The sequence below is a fragment of the Homo sapiens genome, chromosome 3 (assembly GCF_000001405.40).
Source record: "Homo sapiens chromosome 3, GRCh38.p14 Primary Assembly".
NCBI lineage: Eukaryota > Metazoa > Chordata > Mammalia > Primates > Hominidae > Homo > Homo sapiens.
This window is the reverse complement of record NC_000003.12, coordinates 4,999,995-5,015,685: the sequence shown is the minus strand read 5'-3', so window position 1 is coordinate 5,015,685 and position 15,691 is coordinate 4,999,995. Positions and strand designations below refer to the sequence as shown.

The 15,691-nt window shown below is 48.4% G+C and overlaps 7 annotated features.

Moving 5' to 3' along the window:
- Window positions 1,455-2,256: an enhancer, noted in NCBI's record as "NANOG-H3K27ac-H3K4me1 hESC enhancer chr3:5055115-5055916 (GRCh37/hg19 assembly coordinates)". NCBI's record gives its function as "activates a minimal SCP1, AML or CMV promoter by ChIP-STARR-seq in primed H9 embryonic stem cells {active_cell/tissue: H9 hESC(primed)}" and the evidence as "EXISTENCE:reporter gene assay evidence [ECO:0000049][PMID:30033119]".
- Window positions 2,257-3,059: an enhancer, noted in NCBI's record as "NANOG-H3K27ac-H3K4me1 hESC enhancer chr3:5054312-5055114 (GRCh37/hg19 assembly coordinates)". NCBI's record gives its function as "activates a minimal SCP1, AML or CMV promoter by ChIP-STARR-seq in primed H9 embryonic stem cells {active_cell/tissue: H9 hESC(primed)}" and the evidence as "EXISTENCE:reporter gene assay evidence [ECO:0000049][PMID:30033119]".
- Window positions 3,159-3,228: an enhancer, noted in NCBI's record as "active region_19373". NCBI's record gives its function as "activates an Ori minimal core promoter by ATAC-STARR-seq in GM12878 lymphoblastoid cells {active_cell/tissue: GM12878}" and the evidence as "EXISTENCE:reporter gene assay evidence [ECO:0000049][PMID:35858748]".
- Window positions 4,809-4,868: a silencer, noted in NCBI's record as "silent region_14022". NCBI's record gives its function as "represses an Ori minimal core promoter by ATAC-STARR-seq in GM12878 lymphoblastoid cells {active_cell/tissue: GM12878}" and the evidence as "EXISTENCE:reporter gene assay evidence [ECO:0000049][PMID:35858748]".
- Window positions 7,961-8,090: an enhancer, noted in NCBI's record as "active region_19372". NCBI's record gives its function as "activates an Ori minimal core promoter by ATAC-STARR-seq in GM12878 lymphoblastoid cells {active_cell/tissue: GM12878}" and the evidence as "EXISTENCE:reporter gene assay evidence [ECO:0000049][PMID:35858748]".
- Window positions 8,611-8,880: an enhancer, noted in NCBI's record as "active region_19371". NCBI's record gives its function as "activates an Ori minimal core promoter by ATAC-STARR-seq in GM12878 lymphoblastoid cells {active_cell/tissue: GM12878}" and the evidence as "EXISTENCE:reporter gene assay evidence [ECO:0000049][PMID:35858748]".
- Window positions 12,905-13,406: an enhancer, noted in NCBI's record as "H3K27ac hESC enhancer chr3:5043965-5044466 (GRCh37/hg19 assembly coordinates)". NCBI's record gives its function as "activates a minimal SCP1, AML or CMV promoter by ChIP-STARR-seq in primed H9 embryonic stem cells {active_cell/tissue: H9 hESC(primed)}" and the evidence as "EXISTENCE:reporter gene assay evidence [ECO:0000049][PMID:30033119]".

Genomic DNA, 15,691 nt, shown 5'->3' with positions numbered 1-15,691 from the left:
ATGTGGCCCAGGGAAGCCAAAAGACTGGACTTTCCTGGCTTAATGTATTAACTCAACAGCCCTCCCAGGAGCCTTATGAGGTAGAGACTGTTGTCTGCATCTTGCAGATGAGGAAACTGAGGCACAGATATATTTAATACTGTAACCTGTCTCAACTGCACAGCTAGGAAATGGGGAACCAAGACAGTTTGAGTCTTGAGTCTAGAGGTCGTGTGTTGGCAAAATCAATAATTCGCTCTTAGGGTCCTTCCCACCTCTACAAACCTCGGGTTCTTTTGATGTTTTTCCTCGTGTTTTCTCCTTTCCCAAGTCTCTCCTTTTGTCCTTTCCTCCTTTCTCTCTTGTACTCTGTTCTCTTTGTCTCTCCCTCTCGCTCACTCTTTCTGTTCCACCAACTCTTGCTCTCTCTGTCTCTCCCATCTTTGTCTCTCTGTGTCTCTAACTGTTGTTCCTGCTCTTGGGAACTCTCTATTTCTGTCCCTCTGTATTTCCCTTAACATCTTTTTTTTTTTTTTTTAAGACAGGTTTTCACAATGTCACCGAGGCTGGAGTGCAATGGTGTGATCTTGGCTCACTGCAGCCTCAACCTCCCAGGCTCAAGTGATTCTCCCACCTCAGCCTCTCAAGTAGCTAGGACTATAGATGTGTACCACACTCGGCTAATTTTTGTATTTTTTTGTAGAGATGGGGTTTTGCCATGTTGCCCAGGCTGGTCTCAAACTCCTGGGCTCCAGCAATCCTCCGCCTTAGCCTCCCAAATTGCTGGGATTACAGGCCTGAGCCACTGGCGCCTGGCCATGACTCCTTTCTTGAAAGACTCTCACTGTCTCTTCTCTTGCCATCTCTCTGCTCTTCCTTTTTCTGTCCTCCTTTGTCCTCCTCCTCTTTCTCCTTCTCTGTCTCTGCCTCTCTCTGTGTGTCTCTCTCTTCGTGTCTCTCTCTTCCGCACATCATGCATTCTTACCAACCATGACTAAACACTTATGCGATAGAAGAATATGTTTTCAGTAATTCACTGTGGGTCTTGGCTTGTAGAAATCCCACAAGCCAGGCTCTGTGCCTTCGCTACACTTTTGGTGAGAACTTCTGTGGACAGAGGCACAAAAGCCTCAAGCTGTGAGATTCAAAATCTGGTGGTTAAGCCAGCCCCTCAGCGCTCCCAGCCTGCGCCCCTCGTTGGAAACAATGAGTTGGAAAGTGTCTTGATGACTTTCAGCAGACAGACCTGCAAAGAAGAGAAGCTGATCTGGACTCTGGCCTTCCTTCACAACACACTGACAAGTAAATAAAACTAATGGCATGTGTTTCTTTTCTGCAAGAGAAGGATAACCAGAGTATATTTTTTGCAACAAATATGTATGTTCAAAGCACATGAAATGAATGTCTCTTGAAAGAGAAAATAGCCTTCGAATATCAGTTTGAAGCCAAGGAGAAAAGTAACTTTTTCTGGCTGGGCGCAGTGGTTCACGCCTGTAGTCCCAGCACATTGGGAGGATGACGCAGGAGGATCTCTTAAGCCCGAGAGTTTAAGACCAGTCTGGGCAACATGGCAAGGCCCCCATCTCTACGAAAACACAAAAATTAGCCAGGCGTGGTGGCGTGCACCTACAGTCCCAGCTACTCAGGAGGTTGAGGTGGGAGGATGGCTGGAACCCGGGATGTCAAGGCTGCAGTGAGCTGAGATTGTACCACTGCACTCCAGCCCAGGTGACAGAGTGAGACCCTGTTTTGGAAAAAAAGAAAAGTAACTTTTTATTAACATGTAAACAGGGAGAAAAGTAATCGAAAAGGAAAAAGTGGTACTCCTCATCAGTGAAGTGAGTGAAAAATTAAGTGGGGAGTGCAGAGAGGGAAAGAGAGGGGAAGGGAAATTAAGCAGAAGTCACAGTGACCCGAGGAATGAGGCAGAGGAGGAGGAGGGGGAGGAGAGGTGGAGGAAGAGGAGGAGGAGGCAGAGGCAGAGAAGGAGGAGAAGGAGAGGAGGAGCAGGAGCTGAGAGTGGGGGGAAGAAGGTGACTGATCTTAACAAATTTGAGATGAGACTTCAGCAGCTCCAGCTTAGGCAACTACCTGGTTGGCTCTGCCTGAATGAATGTCCACTTATGGAGGGAGGGAGGGAGACAGGGAGAAGGAGGAAACCTGGAGACCAAAAGGGTCCCAGTGATGTAGATAATCAGTCTCAAATCCCAGACTGGGCTCCACCCTCTTTTTCACCTTGGTTTCCGAATGGCTATCCCTGTGCTCTGGAGGGGAAGTGTTCAGACAAAGGCTCACTGGTGGCGATGAGTCAGGGCCCCACCCAGACCCTACCAGCCCCAGGAGGCCTCTCCTTGCCCATAGGCCTGACAGCAGCTGGGTGTTATCAGGAGAAAGCAAGAAACAGTAGGGGCATGGGAAGCCATTCAAAGTCACTCCAAAAGACCTGCTGTGGCCATAGGGTCTAGCTGCCAGAGCTCTGTAGCTGGGATGGCTCCATTCATCCTGGCAATTAATGGTGAGTTGGCTGCCCAGTGTTTGTCATTTCAATGTCAACAGCCCAAGGGAGACAGCTCTGTGGAGCAGGACCAGCCCAGCTATAAAGATCTGTCACTTGGCCTGGCCCAGTGGCTCATGCCTGTAATCCCAACACTTTGGGAGGCCGAGGCAGGTGGATCACTTGAGGCCATGAGTTTGAGACCAGCCTGACCAACATGGCGAAACCCTGTCTCTACTAAAAATACAACAATTAGCTTGGCGTGGTGGCACACGTCTGTAATCCCAGCTACTCAGGAGGCTGAGGCAGGAGAATTGCATGAACCCAGGAGGTAGAGGTTGCAGTGAGCCGAGATCACGCCACTGCACTCCAGCCTGGGTGACAGAGCAAGACTCCATCTCAAAAAAAAAAAAAAAAAAATCTGTCAACACACTATTTCCACCATCAACACCCTTCCTTTAGCTGTAAGACCTGAGAGGGCAGTATCCCACAGCATACCCAGCAATTGACATGCAGGCTGGTATGCAGCAGGTGCTCAATAACTGAACAAGTTAACATGCATTTAACTCTCCCTGCTGCCACAGACCAGCTGTGTGACCCTGGTCAACTTCCTTAACTTGTCTGAGCTACTACTTCCTCTATCAGGACACGGGAGAGTGCCAGTGAAAACACAGACTGTTGCCTTCCCACCTTTGTGAGATAAGAAAGCAGGAGCATCGAGTCCATAGTTGTCATCAAAATATGGTGGGGGTGGAATGGAGGAGCTACTTTCCCTTTCCAAAAGTCTGCAGCTTCTGTTGCTGCTAGTTCCAAGGGTGTGGTACAGATGTTACTTTTTAGGAAGATGGTGTGGGGATGTGGTTAAGAGCCCATGATCTGGGGGCTGAGTACCTGGGTTCAAATGCTGCCTCCTCCACCCATCACTACCTGGTGGCCACCGGCAAGCCACTTCATCTCGCTGAACTTGTTTTCCCATGTGTAAAACAGAGTTGTCAGGAGGCTTACGTGAGATAAATCCCACATCCCTGGCACATAATAGATGCTCCATGCACCTTAGCCATGATCACCAATTTCCACCTCCCAACACTGTGAGGGAGATGACTCTCCCCAGGGTGCAAAAGAGGAAACCAGGGCTGGCCAGGTGGAGAGGCCCTCTCCTGACAGCAGAACCAGAACCAGACACCCTTCTCCCACCCAGGCCCACCACAGCTGCCAAACATGAGGTGATGGGACAGCCCTCGTGGCCTCCACCCACCGCCCTGGTGGAGAAGTGAAACATGAACCCACCAGTGCAAGACAGAGGAAGAGGCACCAGCGAAGGTAAGAAGAGTCGGGTGGCCCTGAATTTTGTCAAAGGGACAGTCCAGGACAAGGTCAAGTCCGGGGTGGCAAGAGGGTGGAGGCGGTGGGAGGATAGTATGACAAGAGGGGTATGGGGGTTGAGTCGGCCGGCGGCCCGGGGTGAAAAGCTGGTCCCGAGAATGAGGAAGGAAGCCTTTTTATCAGTGTTAACAAGAACAGAGAGGGAAGTTCTTTGCATCTGGCCAGATACCTCAGCTGTGACCTCCTGTCTCTAAGGAGGGGGTCCCTGCAAGTTTTGCTTTCAAAAGTCTCTTGGGAGAAAACACAAGTCCCTGATTCTTAGAAGCTGCCTTCGTCTTAACTTAAGAAATCCCTCAGTGGCTTTTTGGTTAGCACGACAGGGTTAGCCTTTCTGACTGGTGGGCTTCCAGCCTCTAAGGATAGCTGGGTTTCCCTTGCTTTCGCCTACCCATTTGCAGGCAAGAAAACTGAAGCTGGACGCTGGCCTCCAGTCCTGTCTTTGCCATTAGCAGCCCTGGGATCTTAGTGCCTTCACCAGCCGAGCTTCAGTTTTTCCACCTGTAAAATGGAGGGTTGAGGCCACATCTTCCTTTTAGTCCTTCCTCTTCCCTTCCCTCCAGAGCAAGTGGTGTGGAATTCTAAGGCAAAAGTCACCCTGATTGAATGGTGTAGATTAGTCAAGAACCCAGCACTGAGGTCAGCCTCTGGAAGCAATTTAAGATGACCCAAGGATTTGAGATTCCAACCTCCTGCATGCAAGCAGAAGTGCTTCCTCCTACATAGGGCTGCCCTCCTTCCTGAGCAACTGGGCTGATTTGTGGAAGAAACAGCTGTGCTTTCTGGTGAGCTCCAATGCCAAACATGTAGGCCTTGGATCAGGCAGGATGTTCCATCAGCAGTCATTGTTCACACCTGTGCTGTATGGGCCAGGCATCGAGCCAATAGTAACACCTCCTTTCACCCCACAACAACCCTGTACCAAGCACACACCCATTTTATACCTGAGGAAGCTGAGGCTTGGAGAGGCACCGCGCCCAGGGTCATGTAACCACAGGTGACAAAATGAAGATGCAAATGCAACCTGAGTGATTCCTTTTGATGGAGCCACACCATTTAAATCAATGCTGGGTGATTGGATTATATGTAATTTTTTTAAATTAAAAACATTTTTTTGCCAGACACAGTTGCTCATGCCTGTAATCCCAGCACTTTGGGAGGCCGAGGCGAAGTGGATCACTTGAGGTCAAGAGTCCGAGACCAGCCTGGCCAATACAGTAAAACCCCGTCTCTACTGAAAATACAAAAAATTACCTGGGTATGGTGGTGGGCAACTGTAATCCCAGCGACTTGGGAGGCTGAGGCAGGAGAATCACTTTAACCTGGGAGGCAGAGGTTGCAGTGAGCTGAGATCGCACCACTGCACTCCAGCCTGGGCAACAGAGTGAGATTCTGTCTCAAAAAAACCCAAAAAACAAAACAAACAAAAACATTTGTTTCCCTATAATGAATAGGATTGCTTGTGTTTTAAAAGGGAGTAACCCAATCACAGCACTTGCAGATAACATTATATGTTGCCTGGAATCTGATTTAAACTATTCCACGGGGTGGGGGGTGGTGCAGAAATAAAGCCAAATTATCCGTGAATTCATAACCCTTGAGGCTGAGTATTGGATATGACGTTCATCATCCTATTCTCCTGTAGTGAACGTGTTTGAGAAGTTCCACGATATTAAAAAAATTTAAATTTAAAATTTAATAAGTCTAAATTCAAGATAAATGAACTAGCCTGGGAATGCCCTGTCATGAGGGTGGCAGTCCTTCGCCCCACCCCACAGCTGAAAGCATTTTAAGGTCGGCTTCGAGAAGGTATTCATTAAGGCCTCCTGGTTCTGCTCTCCCTGGACCACAGTGGCTCTCTTTGCGTCCAAGAGAACAATCTTCCCCCAGATTGCTGGCCAAGTCGCGACTGCGTGTTAGGGATCCCACAGCCAAGTTGTGGTTTTATGACAGAGTTTGGAACCATATGTGGTTCACGTTCACTCAGTCCGGAGACTTGGGGAATCTCTTATAAATGTTCTCAGCAAAGGCACAGTGGCTGCCCACATCCTGGGACACCCAGAAAACTGGGGAAGATGAGACCTCTGGCTTCCACAAGACAGCCAAGCGCCTGGGAGTGGCCCCTCTGCACTGGCCTCCCTCAGGCCCAGCACACGCTGCTCCTGCCTGTCCCCAGAGTCCCTGGGGAGTTTGACTTCTCTTCCCAGACCCCTCTGAAACAAGGAGACCTTGCCATGTACAGCCTTCCCTGTCCTCAGACGAGTGGAATCACCTGACCACTGTCCTGTATTAGACTGAACTATAGTCATTCATTGAGTCAATAATTATTTATTCAATTATTATTTATTGAGCACCAGCTATATGTACAGCCTTCCCTGTCCTCAAATAAGTAGAATAACCTGTCTAATGGCCTGTATTATATTGAGCTATAGTCATTCATTTATTCAATAATAATTTATTGAGCACCAACTATATGCACTAGGATTCTAGCATATAGCAGACAGATGGCCTATATAACATGTACACCATATAAAAGACACAGTCCCCATATTCCAGGAGCTTCTAATTTCCTAGAGGAGAAAGGCAATAATCAATAATTAATACTATTAATCATTTCATTATAATTCTGACAAATGCTTTAGAGAAGTACAGGCACTATGGGGGCATCAGGAATGTGATCTGATTGGGTGAGAAGGAAGGGAGTGGAGAGCCTTCAAAGAAGGCTTCTTGAGCCTTGGCAACACAGTGAGACCCCAACTCTACCAAAAAAAAAAAGCCAGGCATGGTGCCCTGTTTCTATCGTCCTAGCTACTTGAGAGGCTGAGATAGGAGGATCTCTTGGGCAAAGGTTGAGGATGCAGTGATCTGTGACCGCGCCACTGCACTCTAGCCTGGGCAACAATGTGACACTCTGTCTCAAAACAAAACAAAATCAACAAAGGCCTCTTGGAGAGAATAATATCTAAATTGAGATCTGAACATTTGAGGCATTAGCCAGCCAATCGGAGAAAAGGGGGTTATTCCAGAGAGAGGAAACAGCATATGCAAAGATCAGATGGACCATGGCTCCTTCAAGGAAGTGAAGCTATACCGTGTGTACTGTGTGGTATGAGGAGTATGAGAGGGAAGGAGATGCTAGAGATGGCAGAGAAGGAGCTGGGGGCAGTTCGCAAAGGAGCTTGAAGGCCAAGTTAAGGATGATGGAGTGCTCACGAGGTAATAGGTGTGTGTGCAGGGGCGAGTAACTTATACCTAAAATGAGTGCTTTTGTTGGTGGGAGCTGACTGGGTCAGAACAAGGTAATGTGAATGCTGCAGGGGCTAGGCCAGCCCACACAGCACATTTGTAAGAATTAGGAAAAGGTGCCCCTCTGGGAAGATGCAGCCCCATAGGCCCATGCTTAGGAAAGGGACCTGACCTGAATTTCACCCCCTCTATGCCCGAGCCAGCACCCTCGTGCAGTGAACAACCTACACAACTGTATACAATGGCCACAGATGCCAGGGAACAGTCAGAAGGGTGTAGCGACATTTGTTGACAAATCTGTCTCCTCCATCTTAAGCACCTTGAGTTCTGAGTTCTGGAGCTGCATATCCATGTTTGTAACCTCAGTACACATAGGAGATGCTCCTAATATTTGTCGAATGGATTGTTCTTTGGCTACTTGTTTTTTCTTCAGACTTTCTGTCTTCTTGTCCTTCTAAATTCATAACGGCTTCCTCTTAATGCACTCCTGCTAGCGTTAGAAAGCACTGTGTTGGCTAGCTTGCCTTTTTTTTTTTTTAGACAGGGTCTCGCTCTGTCACCCAGGCTTGAAGTGCAGTGGTGCGATCTCTGCTCACTGCAGCCTCCGCCTCCCAGGTTCAAGTGATTCTTGTGCCTCAGCCTCCTGAGTAGCTGGGACCACAGGCATACACCACCAAGCCCAGCTAACTTTTATATTTTTAGTAGAGATGGTGTTTTGCCATGTTGCCCAGGCTGGTCTTGAACTCCTGGCCTCAAGCAATCCACCCACCTTGGCTTCACAAAATGCTGGGATTACAGGCGTGAGCTACCACGTCTGGCCCACTTTGACTTTTTAATCCTAACATCTTACCCTCTGTCCATTCAACAGAAACTTGGCTATGGCCACACAGCTAGGAAGGCGGGCAGGCAGTGCTGGGCAGGAAACTGTCAAGCCCTGGGGTTGTGGTCCAGGCTGGATCCCCTACCTTCTGGTAGGGATTCTTGTGGCTTAATCTCTGTACTTTGGATCCTAGAATGTCAGAGCCGAAAGGAACCTTTTGGGGCCCCATTTTACAAATGGGGCAACTGAGGCACAGAGAAGGGCTGGAAATTACTAGAAGCCACTGAGTAAGAGCCAGAGCAGAACTGGAAACTAGGTCCCTTGACATGTTTAGAAGAAGTAGCTAGCTAGATATCAGGAGTGGAAATTAGAAGAGAAAGACCAAGGAGGAGAAATGGCTCTCTGAGGAGGGTGTCTGACTGTGATGGCTGTTAGTGGGGCTACGAGGGATTAGAGAAGACTTGAGGAGGAGTCCCTTAGATCACTGGTTCAAAAGGGAAGAGAGGGTTAAGAAAACAGGACTTTGCCAAGGAGTGGACAGCCCTCTAAACTGGAATCCATTTGGATCCAGCCTGGCCATAGATCTCCAGATGCTAAACAGAATTTCTTGTTCTGGGCCTGGTCAGTTTGGAAGTCCTTGGTCAGTAGCATTTGGCTGGCAGCGAGCCGCCAGATGGCCTGCTCTGTGAGCACTTGCTGAAATCAGAGGCAAGGCTTGGTTCCCCTTCCCGGGAGCCTGCACTCCAGGTACCTCTGTGAGGCCCCACTCCAGTTCTCTGTCAGCATCTGCTCGGGGCTTTCCTCTTTCTAGGTCTTCTTCACAGCTCCTCCTATGTCACATTGCCTCGGGTCCCACCAGCACTGCCCTAAGCTGGAAAATCCCTCCGAGCCCAAGCAGCCCGTGACCATAGAGGCAGGAAACTATGACACTAGAGGCACACAGGGTGTGAGGTTTATTCTTGGTATGTGGTTGGGAAAGGCGGGGTTGAATGGCGGTGGGGTGGGATGGGATCCTCAAGAGAGATAGAGAAATCCAAAAAGAAGGAACCCCTTTGAGAATATCAGAGTAGTTTTCTTTTCTTTTGTTTTCTTTTCTTTTCCTTTTTTTTTTTTTTGAGACAGGGTCTCACTCTGTCACCCAGGCTGGAGTGCAGTGACATGATCTTGGTTCACTGCAATCTCTGCTATCCGGGGTCAAGCGATTCTCCTGCCTCAGCCTCCTGAGTAGCTGGAACTACAGGTGCACACCACTGCACCCGGCTAATTTTTGTATTTTTTGTGGAGTCGGGGTTTCACCATGTCGCCAAGGCTGGTCTCGAACTCCTGGCCTCAAGTAATCTGCCCACCTCAGCCTCCCAAGTTGCTGGGATTACAGGCATGAGCCACTGCACCCTGCCTCAGAGTAGTTTTCTTTCCCAGCGTGTTCCCTTTGCTTCAAGCCTCTGGGATTGTCTCTCTTCCTTGGGGTAGCCTCTGGGTGTGCGGGGAGCAGGGGAGCATTTTAGGATCAAGGGTTCAGCTCCTCAATCAGGGTCTCCAACCTATAGAGTTTAGCAGTAGCAATCGTAGTAACATAGGGAATATTGAAATTAACTGATCACTTTCTAGATGCCAGGTTTTATGTACCTAGTACAGTGCCTGGAACACAGTAAGTCCTCAATATATGGTAACGTGATTGTATGATTGTAATCCACCTTAGGAAGTGGCATGGGGCCAGGCATGCCTGTAATCCCAGCCCTTTGGGAGGCTGAGGCAGGCAGATCACTTGAGGTCAGGCATTCGAGACCAACCTGGCCAACATGGTGAAACCCCGTCTCCACTAAAAATACAAAAATTAACTGGGCATGGTGGTGGGTGCCTGTAATCCCAGCTACCTGGGAGGCTGAGGCAGAAGAATCTCTTGAGCCCGGGAAGTGGAGGTTGCAGTGAGCCGAGATGATGCCATTGCACGCCAGCCTGGGCGACAGAGTGAGACTCTGTCTCAAAAAAAAAAAAAAAAAAAAAGAAGAGGCATGAATCCCAATCCCATTTTAGAGATGGGGAAACAGATTCAAAGACCACAAGTCATTTTTCCAACATGGTACAGCTGGCTATTCATTCGCTCACTGATTCAATAAGTATTCATGGAGTCCTTGCTGTGTGGCAGCCACTGCTGTAGATGACAGAAATGGAGCCCTGCACGTGGCCCCCGCCGTCAGGGTTCATCTGTGTGTGTTCTACTGAAGGGAGTCAGGTGATGAACACACAGCAAGTCAATAAGGAAGGGAATTGCAGATTGGAATAGAAAACAGGCATTGCAGGGAGATGTGGAAGAAGTGAGAACATGACAGTGCTTTAGAAAGGAAGAGAAGGGAAGCCTTTTTAAAAATCTTTATTTTTTGTAGAGATGGGATCTCTCTGTGTTTCCCAGGCTGGTCTCAAACTCCTGGGCTCAAGTGATCCTCCTACCTCGGCTTCCCAAAGTGCTGAGATTATAGTCATGAGCCACCATGCCCAGCCAAGGGAAGGCTTTTTAAGGGAGGTGACACTGAAGCTAGGATTTGATGAGTGTGAAGGAGCTGGGGAAAGGTCGTTTACAGCAGGGGCAACACCAACAGCAAAGGCCTTGTGTGGGGAGAGAACTTGGTTGGTTTTCAGGAGGTTCAGGGAGGCCAGTGGGAGTGAGGTGAGCAGGCAGGAGCATGGGAGGGAGGGAGATGAGGCAACCGGTGGGACAGGGACACACCAGCCTTTGGGGCCACGGGAAGAGCTGGGGCTGTCAGTGGCAGAGGCTGCCACGCTGGAGTTTAATCCCTCACTTCGGACCTCCATGGCCAGCCTGGGCTCTGCCCCTTTGGTCCCAGTCCTGACTCTGAGCTGGGCTTCAGCAGGTGTGACTCCCCTACGTCCCTGCCGGCCACAGCCCCCTCCACTCACAGTGTGTCATAGGACAGGCAGGGCCACTCCTGTTTCCCAGCTCAGAGCCTGTCGAGGCCTGCAGATTCCCCACTGAGCAACAGAAACAACCCCCTCCTGATGGGACAGTCAGCCCTAAAGGAGGGAGCAGCTGTCCAAACCCCAAACACCTCCCTACCAGCTACCTGCGAGGCTTCTGGGCCTTCTCCCTTCCTCCACCCACCCTTCTCTCACACGTCAGCTGACCTGGGTTCAAATCCTGCCTGTACCTCCCATAAACAGTAGGGCAGTGAGCAAACTGGGTTTTATTTTGTTTGGTTTGGTTTGGTAGAGATGGGGTCTTGCTATGTTGCCCAGGCTGCTCTCGAACTCCTGGGGTCAAGCAATCCTCCCACCTCGGCCTCCCAAAGTGCTGAGATTACAGGCGTGAGTCACTGTGCCCAGCCTGAGCAAGTCATTTAGTCCTTCACCTGTGAGGTGGGATAATACCTATGTGCTCTCACAGGGCTGTCAGTGAACATTAAATATGATAAGAATAATATCAGTTAGCATTGAGAGTCTACTCTGGGCCAGGTATGTGCCACTTGCCCTACACACTTTAACTCACTTTCTCCTCATAACAACAATGTGGGGGAGTATTGTGATCAGAGCCAGCTTCATGGGCATGTGGCCTATGCAGTCACAGAGGGCCACCCCACACTTAGAAGGGCCCCACGTTTGGTTTAATTCTCCATCATTGCTCTCTTGAAATTCTTTTTTTTTTTTTTTTTTGAGATAGAGTTTTGCTCTTGTTGCCCAGGCTGGAGTGCAATGGCATGATCTCAACTCACCACAACCTCCACCTCCTGGGTTCAAAGCGATTCTCCTACCTCAGCCTCCCGAGTAGCCGAGATTACAGGCATGCGCCACCATGCCCAGCTAATTTTGTATTTTTAGTAGAAATGGGTTTTTTCCATGTTGGCAGGCTGGTCTCAAACTCCCAACCTCAGGTAATCCACCTGCCTCAGCCTCCCAAAGTCCTGGGATTACAGGTGTGAGCCACTGAGCCCGGCCGAAATTCTTAATAATTTTCTTTTTTTTTTTTTTTTTTTTTTGAGACGGAGTCTCACTCTGTTGCCCAGGCTGGAATGAAGTGGCACTATCTTGGCTCCTGCAACCTCCATCTCCCGGGTTCAAGCGATTCTCCTGCCCTAGCCTCCCAAGTAGCTGGGACTACAGGTGCATGCCACCATGCCCGGCTAATTTTTGTATTTTTAGTAGAGACGGGGTTTCACCATGTTGGCCAGGCTAGTCTCAAACTCCTGACCTTGTGATCCACCCGCCTCGGCCTCCCAAAGTGCTGGGATTACAGGCGTAAGCCACCGTGCCTAGCCCGAAATTCTTAATTTTTAAAACAAGGGCCCTGCATTTTCATTTGCGCTGGGTCCCACAAATTACATAACTGGTCCTGATTACTGCATTAGCATCTACTCTTGGCCAGGTGCTGTTTAAGGCACTGTAGAGACAGGAGTGAACAAAAGAGAATTCCCTACGCTTGTGGAATTTACTTTGCATTACTTCCCAGATGAGGAAACTAAGGTTCAGAGAAGGTAAGTTACCTGCTCAAAGTCACGCAGTAAGTGGGTGTCCAAGTTCCAACTCAGAGCTCTTAACCATGATACAATTCCCCTCTTCTGACTGAGGCTGTAAAGTATTTAATACGACTTCAAGCAAAGAAATAGCAAATAGCGTTCTACATGCTTTAAATGGGTTAACTCATTTAATCACAACTGCCCCATTTTAGAGATGAGAACATGGAGGCTCAGAGAGGTTAGGTACCTTGCCCAGAGTCACACTGCTGTGAAGAAGCAGAGCGGAGACTGGGAACCCAGGTGTCTTGCTCAGAACTACGTTCCTAGCCACACCAGCATGTTGCCTTCTGAAGGAATCATTCAGAAAATGGTGGCTTTTGCAATTCGTTTTAATCCCCGTCATTTTCATTTTTGTCATTTTTGTCTTGTGTCTGGAGCCCCCACGCACAAGGCCTGACCCGAATTAATATGTACGCGATAAAAGGATTAACAAATGAATGAGCAGACTGAGGCATAAACCTGTGTGGTAACGGCTACAGTTGCCCCCACCACCACTACCACAACCACCCAAAATCTGACATGACTTATCACCAGGGCCTGACACCCAGCTTCTCTGTCTTGCCTTAAGCCAGTGATGAAATCTGTCATCGCTCAGGATGTAGAAAACAGGGTCGCGTCTTCCAGTAAACAGGCCAGGGCTGGAAGGTAGGGGGTGGGGAGGGGTGCCGTGTGGAGGAGTCGTTCACAGCGATTGTTATCAATGAGTAACAAGCTTTCCTTTTCCTCCCGAGGTGATGACAGGGCTCGTGACAGGGCTTGTAGATGTCTCCCTCCCCTAAAGGCTGTCACTCTTTAGAGGGTCTCATCCTCCATGCTTGGGCTGACTTGGGGAATTTATCAGTCAGGCAGGCCTTAAGTGCCAGGTGATTTCTGGGGCTCTGGGAGAGACCCTTGGACAGAATAGCACCTCCCATTATCCTCACTGATGTCTGACACCCCTATTCATTCATTCATTAGTCAACGAATCGTTATTGCGTGCCTACTATGTGTCAGACACTCTTCTAGGAACTGAAGATATAGCAGAGAATGAAACAGATAAAAATCTCTTGCCTCAGGGAGCTCATATTCCAGTCCAAGGCACTTCCACTGGGAATTCTTTTGATTACATGGTAGACATTGGGAACTTTATCTTGCTGAGCATTGGATATGTTTGTACTCTTCTAAAAGCCATTGAACTTTGTCTAGGACACAGTTAAGGTTCTTTTTAATTGTTTCAGATGGGAGGGTAAATCTGGTACCTGTTACTCTATTTGGCCAGAATCCAAAGTTCCCTTCCACAGGTTTTTTTTTCTTATAAGAAAGTCTTTAGGCCTGGGAGAGGCAAGACTTGAAATATCATCTGTTACTTATACCTTTTTGTGAATGAGTTTATAACAGCCGTTTTGAGGCACTGTGGTAATAGGTAACAGGAAATGAAGACCTGGACCTGGAAGACACCGAAATAATATCTACGGATTAGGAAATTAAATATTCACATAGCCATTATTTCATTTGAATTCATCTCATTCTTGGAAATAGTCAAGCAAGAAAAGTGCTTCAATTTCCATTTTATGGCTGAGGAAAGTGAAGCTTGGAGAGCTTCACTGGCTCAAAGCCACACAGCTAATTAACACCCAGAGGCACTGACCTTTTTAGAGATAGGGGGTCTCACTTTGTCACCCAAGCTGCATGTGCAGTGGCATGATCATGGCTCACTGCAGCCTTGACATCCTGGGCTCACTTGATCCTCCCACCTCAGCCTCCCAAAGTACTGGGATTACAGGTGTGAAGCACCACGCCCCACAGAGCCTACTGACATTTACCCTAGAGTGTGTTCTAACACATCTTGGGGCAGGGATCACCATATGGAGAGAGCAGAGGGCACCTATGATTCCAAATACTTGTGCTGACTTTGTTGTTTGGCACACCGCTGCACTTGCCCCTTCTGCTTTGGGCCTGTCTGAGGAAAAGCATCAGCTTCCTGGGGACACAAGTCAGTACTGCTTGTTCATGTGCCCTGAGCAGCAGCTACAGGTTAGGAAGACACACAGGCACAATCTGAAGAGACTGCGAATTCCACGAGGGCAGGGACTGCATCTATTTGGGTCCCCACTGGGACCTCAGCACCTAAAACAGTACCTGAGCCCTAGTAAGTTATCAAGGAATATTTGCTGAGCAACGATAACAACAAAACACATGAATAAATGAATCTGAGGGGTAAGCTGACGAAAAGGAATACCTACCTCAGTTGCTTCAGCTATAAAATGGGAGACAATAATCTTTGCCTTTTAATGTTATTTTGATTTCACTGAAGGCAGGGGTTTTTGTCTGTTTTATTTATGCCTTCCTATATCCCCAGCTTCTAAAACAGGGCCTGTCACATAGTAGGTACTTAATACATGTTTGCTGGATAAACAGATGCAAGCAAAACATCTAGGTTTTTGTGAACATGTGTGTCTAAAAAGGACCTAACATAGTACTGTGGTTAAGGGCAAGGAACTTGAAGTCAGGCCTGGGTTGGACTCCTGGCTCTGACACTTACTAGCTGTGTGACCTTGAGAAGGTCTCTGAGCCTCTGTTTCCCTGGGGCATATAATAAGGAGAGTCATCATCTCTATACTAGGGTATCCTGAGGATTAAACAAGGTCATGTATATAAAGTGCTTAGCATAATTCCAGCAGCAAATAAAATGCTCCAAACTTATTAAAGTTCTAATGTGTCTAGGGGCAGGGTGCAGCAGCTCACACCTGTGATCCCAACACTTTGGAAGGCTGAGGCAGGAGGATTGCTTGAGCCCAGGAATTTGAGATCACCCTGGCCAATATAGTGAGACCTCATCTCTTTTTAATAAAGAAAGAAATTTTTATATAAAAAATAATACGTCTAGGAGTGAGGATGCATTTTTATGGGGCATTTTTCTCCCTTAAGGACTTTTATCCCTAGGACTCCCCAAAAGATCCCAGAATTTGTTCTCCTAAAAGATGAAGATGTATGGAAAATAAATACCAATCAAATCTCCCATTGGCAACTAAGATCCCCCTTGAGCCTGCAGGCAGTGCTCCATCCTACCCTGCACCTGCCTGAACTTGATGCAGCCAGATTCACTGGGGGGGCATGAAGCTCTGCTCAGCTGCCCTGGTCTTCGGCAGCCCTTTCAAGTTGGGATGTGTCTTTTCTTGTCTTGTGGTTGGCCTGGCCTCAAAGCTAACATGCAGCCCGTCCCTGCCCCAGGGTGAAATGGGTGCTCTCAAGATCTTCAGTGGAGAT